This window comes from Homo sapiens, chromosome 6 (genome assembly GCF_000001405.40).
Source record: "Homo sapiens chromosome 6, GRCh38.p14 Primary Assembly".
NCBI lineage: Eukaryota > Metazoa > Chordata > Mammalia > Primates > Hominidae > Homo > Homo sapiens.
The window spans coordinates 128777695-128785697 of record NC_000006.12 but is presented as its reverse complement, the minus strand read 5'-3'; positions in this window follow the sequence as shown (position 1 = coordinate 128785697).

Sequence of the window (8003 nt, the reverse complement as noted above, 5' to 3'; positions counted from 1 at the left end):
TACTTATGTAATAAAACTGCAGGTTCTGCACATGTACCCCAGAACTTAAAGTATTATTTTAAAAATTAATTTAAAAAAGAAAATTAAAACTGCAATAAGTTATTGCTATATACTCATTATGATCATTAAAACAAAGCAGACTGATAATATCAATTGTTGGTAATGATGGGGAGTCCCTGGTACTTTCATACACTAAGGGATTCTAAAATGATATAACCGCTTTGAAAAACTTGTTGGCAGTTTCTCCTGTGAAAATTGTCAGAATCAACGTGGAGTCACTAATGTTGAAAAAAAAAACCCTGACAAATAGAGCCAGGGAACACCATGAAGAGAGGGTTCTCCTGCTCATATGCTTGATAATAAAAAGTATCACAAAAGAATCTGTGAAAATCATAATCTTGCAAAAAGACCATCACATCCTTATACAAAAAAATACTTCTGCAAGGACATCTGCCCAGCAACTGGCTGTCAACCCTCAGACTGGTGTCACCCTTTTAATTGATCTTTGTAGCTGAGGATTATTTTAAAACAATTGTATAATCATCCTCATTTTTTCTTTAAAAATCTTTGTCTTCCTTTACCTCCTTGAATATGCATATGGTTTACTATGGCACATGTATTACCATTGCTATGCTCTATTCCCAAATAAATATCCTTTTCTTTTAGAGAGCCTCTCCCTGTTTATTTAAATTGATACTTATAAAGGTAACTCATTAATATCACTCAGTTATTTACCCAGTAGAAATGAAAACATTCACATCAGACTTATTATATGTGAAGACCCTTAGCTTCATTCAAAATAGCTAAAAACTGGAAAGATAAAAAGACACGAAAAAGGAAGTAAGTGGATAAACAAATCTTGGGATGTCCATACACAACTCAACAACAACAACAAAATTTACTACTGGTAAACACTAAAATATATTTAGCCCAACGACATTGTACTAAGCAAAATATCCAGACTCAAAAGAGTACATTATACCTGATTCTATTTCTAGAATCTCTAAGAGATCAAATCTAATTTATAGTGACATAAAACGTCAGTGGTTGTCTGCAGCCAGGGATAAAGAGAATTTGTGTTTATAAGGGAGGAACTGTTAACACACAAAAAAAAATCCAATGCTTGGAAATAAGCAAATGGAAAACCGCTTGTCCTTTCAATGTCATACTAGAATATTGCCTAAGAGGCTTATCTAACAAGGATTATCTAACCCCTAGGGGGATGTGCCTTTGAATATAGTATTTTACAACTCTATAATGATAGGTGTTGAAGAGTAGAAAACTGATAGTTATGCAGATGATTCTGTTTCTATAGCAGTGCAGATTAATTTCATCCTGTAGATATGCAAAGGATTTTTATCACGTAGAAAACATTGCATGCCCTGTAGGGCACTGACATTTTTTTTTTGTGCACAATTTAGAAATCTTAATATAGCATTCTCTTTGTATGTCTATAAATTATTTCTACCCTATAGTTTTTTTTTTAAAAAAAAAAACAGCTTTATCATCTTGTGGCTCTGCCAATAAGGATTTAAAAACACCTTTGATACAGACCCATTTTTATAAATAGTCCCCTCTAAAAATTCCTGTGGCTTAAAATATTTAGATTACCAACTCAACCCTACTTTCCATTATGGTAAAAGTACCTACCTTGTCCTATTAAATCACAGCTGCTAAGCTTCTGTTGCTCTTGGATCTTCCCTTCCCTATTGAAATTAGGAAACCTATCTTACTGGCAGCATCACATATGGTGGTCACTGGGCTAAAGAAGACAGTCGCCACATGACTTTTCAAGGAGGCTGGTGCTCAGTGCTTTACATAAGTGAGAATTCTCTAAACATCCTTGGAATATATAATGGATGGGGAATGCACAGGGCAGGTCATGCATAATAAATTTTCCAACATACCATAAGAAGAAGAAGAATCAACCAAGTAAAAAACTGAAAAAAAAAATGCAAAGAGGAAGGATCTAGAGCACAGAAGATTAATAAATGAGACAAAAGATGGAAAAAATATAAATGTGATGAGATGAAGGAGACAGAACTTTCTACTTCCCATTCTTAAAACCAGAATGTGATTGTTTGAACCAGGTTCAGTCCAACATATACTCCCACCTGAGACTTTGAATCTTGAGAAAATGGTACAAAGGCACAGACAGAATTTAGAAGTCATTTGTGGCCTCAGCACAGCTTTGCTAATCCATCAGTATCTGAATTGGTATGCTGCGGCAGAACTGTTCCTAGGAGCCGTGTCAGTGCGGCTGGCTGCTTCAACATCAGCACCCTACTCAGACGTCCCTGTGGCCTGACCCTGCTCACAGGTTCTTTGCAGAACCTCCCTTGATGCCCGCCTATTTTCTGAGCTTCATTCTCCTGCCTTCCAACTTATTTTGTAAGCTACCAAGTAAGTATCTTTCTAATACATTCCTTTCTGCTCTAATGAGTCAGATCAGTTTCCATCACTTGCAACAACTATTCCTGACGGATACAGGTATGTTGTTCCCAGCAGATAGGATCGAAGGAGAATTTGACGTGAGATTGAAGATACTGGGGAGAGTGAAGTAATAAACCTGGACATCTAAACTGAATAAGAATGTATGTAAAGGCAGGAGCAGGGAAAGCAGGAAAAAAAGAGTGTTCCGATGCATGAGATTCCAGAGAGGGCAGAGGAAAGACAAGCTAGGAGAAACTAAGTGAGAAAGTTGTCCTGAGAAGAGGTTGTTGGCAGAAATTAAGATTTGAATCGAATGGTTGAGGTGGGTAAGTCCTTGGTGATAAAACTTTTAGGATATGACAGTGACTGAGGGATTGAAGATGGGTAGAGATAAGAGTGCAAGAAACTTGAGACATTAGAATGTTGCAAAAATCATCCACATGTTTGTTGCAGTCACCAAGAATGATGGCAGGAATATGATGTGAGGTGGAAAGCTGTAATTTGCGTATTAAAGCCTTCAGAGAATGAGAAGGAAAGACTGAAAAGCCTGCTCATTAAAAAACTGAGGAAGGTGGCTTGGAGTCATAGTAAAGGTTTCAAAAGAAGGCAAGGTATTTTACATCTGGCACAGCCACAGGAGCAGTGGTTTGTAAACTAAAGACGGGCGTCCTGGTACCGATGACGATGTAGTGGTACCAAATTAGCAGTGTCATCAGGAGAGGCAAAGAATTGAAGGAAATGCTCAGTTAGAAAACTATCTTTCAGGAATGTATTCAGAATAAAAAAATAAAATTCTTTTTGGAAAGATTCTTGCTTTGGTGACCCTGGAAATTTGGATTTTCTTTTAGCTTATTTTCTTAGGTTAAGAGATAGATTTGGTTTGAAATATCTGCGATCACAGCACTGTTCATTAGGGGGAAGAAAGATTGCCATAGGAGCTAGCCTGTAGGTTATTAATATAGTACACAAAACGTGTCATTACTGAAAATATTTGGATTCTGATATACTCTTGTATTTTTTAAAAATTACTATTTGAGTGTGTTCTTTTTAAAAAGTTTTGTCTAGTAACAAAACATCCTAGATTATAGGAAATCCACACATTAAAAAAAACAGTGTGTATCCAGAAAAAAGTTCATTATATAAATTTTAAGATTTATTCTTATATATTTTTCAAGATTTCTGTTAAATATCTTTTTCTAATTATGTTTTTTATCTGATTATTTTCCACCAACATGAAACATATCAGAATACTAAATGGTTCTAGATTTCTTCATTCTGCTCCCAGGGAGAAAATAAACAAGTCCTTTTCTTCTAATTAAAAAGGAAAAATTAAATCTATTAGGTTGGTGCAAAAAATAATTACGGTTTCTGCCATTGAACCTAATGACAAAAACCACAATTACTTTTGTACCAATCTAAATATTTAATTTTTCAGCATTTAGTACTGAGTTAAAATTCAACCAAGAGAGGGGAGAAACTCCCTTATTTCTTTTGCAGTAGTAAACAGATAGTGAAGTCAGGGTTCCTGTGTGGCTATGGTAAAGCTGGCATTCCTTTAAGCTAGGGTTTTTTAGGCCACTTTCAAGTCCTAAAGGCATTTAAGTATCATTGTTTCTGCCTGTCAAGCAAGATAATTGTTAGCCTCTGTGAATATTTCCTCATAGCTCCACCAATCATTTTTATCTCTGCTGCCAACCTAAGTTTGATTAGCAAGTGTGAAAAATGCTCAAGAAGTAACATAAAGAGGTACTGAACCAATCTGATCTTTTGGAGGAGTTTTTACTTATACCCAGCAAGAATTGTTATATTACCAGGAAAGACTTTGGAAATCACAACTTACCTAATATTATTTCTCCCTCTCACTAAAATGGCAACTTATGTTTTTCCAGTCAAGCCAAAATTCATGGAGTCATCTTAGCTTTTCTTCCTCTCACATTCCCTATCCAAAACATCAACAAATCTTGGTTTACCTTTGAGAAATATTGAGAAACTGATTCTTCTATAGGTGCCACATTGTTTCAAGCCCACTTCAACATTAGTTCTAGCTTATTTTCTTAGGTTATTTCTTAGGTTAAGAAATTGAGGCACTATGTACTATTCTTTTCAATGCACACACAATATTGTCTTATATTTTTAATTTTACTTTTGGAAGACAGGAATTTTTTGTTTGTTAGTGGCTATAACGGTATTACAGTTTTAAAAAAACTATTAAAGATGCAAACTGACGTACTTATGATGAAATGATATAAAGTCTTGAATTTCTTTAAAATATACTTTTCAATTGATGAACTGGTCCTGTGTTGATAATTGTTGAATATGGGTCATGGGTACAAGTTGTTCATTATGCAATTCTCTCTACTATTGTCTACGCTTGAACAACATGTAATAAAGAATGTGAGGAGGCACAAAGATCTCCAGGAAAGGTAGAGAACCAGAATTAGGGGCTACACAGCCAGGAATGTTATCTCAAAGCCCACCTGAGAATTAGTCCAGTGAAGAAAACTTTGTCACAAGGACCGAGTCTGTACAGAGACCACAGCTAGCACTTCAAGGATCACTGTGGCTGTATACCAGATTTGTTGCCACTTATAAATTTCTCTAAGTGTAGTTTCAATTACATCTCATAAGTTTTGACAGAAAGTGTTCTTATTTTCATTTATCTCTGTAGCTTGGATATAACTGCCTCCAACCCACTTCCTAACAGATTCTAGCCCAGGGACCTGTTTCTTCTTATCACTGGCTTTTGATTCCAATTGTGATTGGCAGAATCTCAGCCTTGTGCTTCCTAGCTATATAGGAGGATGGGAAAGTATTTGGCGATAGCAACTTCTAAGAGGCAGTTTTATCCTTAAAATATATGATGTTCCCTCCATAATAGGGGTCCATTCCAAGATAGCTGAACAGGAACTGCTCCAGTCTGTAGATCCCAGTGTGATCAATGCAGAAGACTGGTGATTTCTGCATTTCCAATTGAAGTACCTGGTTCATCTCTTTGGGACTGGTTGGACAGTGGGTGCAGCCCATGGAGGGTGAGCTGAAGCAGGGCAGGGCATCGCCTCACCCAGGATGGGCAAGGGGTCGGGGGATATACCTTTCCTAGCTAAGGGAAGCCATGACAGATTGTACTGGGAAAAATAGGACACTCTAGCCCAAATACTGCACTTTTCCCAAGGTCTTAGCAACTGGCAAACCAAGAGATTCTCTCCCATGACTTGCTCAGTGGGTCCCATGCCCATGGAGACTTGCTCACTACTAGCACACCAGTCTGAGATTGACCTGCAAGGTTGCAGCCTGGTGGGGGGAGGGGCATCTGTCATTCCTGAGGCTTCAGTAGGTAAACAAAGTGGCCAGGAAGCTCAAAGTGGGTGGAGCCCACCACAGCTCAGCAAGGCCTACTGCCTCTGTAGACTCCACCTCTGTGGGCAGGGCATAGCTGAACAAAAGGCAGCAGAAACTTCTGCAGACTTAAACTTCCCTGTCTGACAGCTCTGAAGAGAACAGTGGTTCTCCCAGCACGGCATTTGAGCTCTGAGAATAGACAGACTGCCTCCTCAAGTGGGTCCCTGAACCCCATGTAGCCTAACTGGGAGACACCTCCTAGTAGGGGCCGACAGACACCTCATACAGGCAGGTGACCCTCTGGGACGAAGCTTCTAGAGGAAGGATCAGGCAGTAATATTTGCTGTTCTGCAATATTTGCTGTTCTGCAGCCTCTGCTGGTGACACCCAGGCAAACAGGGTCTGGAGTGGACCCCCAGCAAACTCCAACAGACCTGCAGCAGAGGGACCTGTTAGAAAGAAAACTAACAAACAGAAAGGAATAGCATCAACATCAACAAAAAGGACAACCACACCAAAACCCCATCTGTAGGTCACCAACATCAAAGACCAAAGGTAGATAAAACCACAACAAAGATGGGGAGAAACCAGAGCAGAAAAGCTGAAAATTCTAAAAACCAGAGTGCCTCTTCTCCTCCAAAGGATCACAACTCCTCGCCAGCAATGGAACAAAGCTGGATGGAGAATGATTTGATGAGTTGTCAGAAGTAGGCTTCAGAAGGTCAGTAACAACGAACTTCTCCAAGCTAAAGTAGACTTCAGAAGGTCAGTAATAACGAACTTCTCCAAGCTAAAGGAGAATGTTTTAACCCATCGCAAGGAAGCTAAAAACCTTGAAAAAAGGTTAGATGAATGGCTAACTAGAATAAACAGTGTAGAGAAGACTTTAAATGACCTGATGGAGCTGAAAACCACGGCACGAGAACTTCATGATGCATGCACAAGCTTCAATAGCCAATTCGATCAAGTGGAAGAAAGGATATCAGTGATTGAAGATCAAATTAATGAAATAAAATGAGAAGACAAGATTAGAGAAAAAAGAGTAAAAAGAAACGAACAAAGCCTCCAAGAAATATGGGACTATGTGAAAAGACCAAATCTATGTTTGACCGGTGTACCTGAAAGTGATGGGGAGAAGGGAACCAAATTGGAAAACACTCTTCACGATTTTATCCAGGAGAACTTCCCCAACCTAGCAAGGCAGGCCAACATTCAAATTCAGGAAATACAGAGAACACCACAAAGATACTCCCCGAGAAGAGCAACACCAAGACACGTAACTGTCAGATTCACCAAGATTGAAATGAAGGAAAAAATGTTAAGGGCAGCCAGAGAGAAAGGTTGGGTTACCCACAAAGGGAAGCCCATCAGACTAACAGTGGATCAGTCAGCAGAAACCCTACAGCCAGAAGAGAGTGGGAGCCAATATTCAACATTCTTAAAGAAAAGAATTTTCAACCAAGAATTTCATATCTAGCCAAACTAAGCTTCATAAGTGAAGGAGAAATAAAATCCTTTACAGACAAGCAAACGCTGAGAGATTTTGTCACCACCAGGCCTGCCTTACAAGAGCTCTTGAAGGAAGCACTAAACATGGAAAGGAACAACCGGTACCAGCCACTGCAAAAACATGCCAAATTGTAAAGATCATAGATGCTAGGAAGAAACTGCAGCAATAAACTGGCAAAATAACCAGCTAACCTCATAATGACAGGATCAAATTCACAAATAACAATATTAACCTTAAATGTAAATGAGCTAAATGCTCTGATTAAGAGACACAGATTGGCAAATTGGATAAAGAGTCAAGACGACCCATCTCAAATGCAGAGACACACATAGGCTCAGAATAAAGGGATGGAGGAAGATCTACCAAGCAAATGGAAAGAAAAAAAAAAGCAGGGGTTGCAATCCTAGTCTCTGATAAAACAGACTCTAAACCAACAAAGATCAAAAGAGACAAAGAAGGCCATTACATAATGATAAAGAGATCAATACAACAAGAAGAGCTAACTATCCTAAATATGTATGCACCCAATACAGGAGCACCCAGATTCATAAAGCAAGTTCTTAGAGACCTACAAAGAGAATTAGACTCCCACGCAGTAATAATGGGAGACTTTTAACACCCCACTGTCAATATTAGACAGATCAACAAGACAGAAGGTTAACAAGGATATCCAGGACTTCAACTCAGCTCTGCAACAAGCAGACCTAATAGACATCTACAG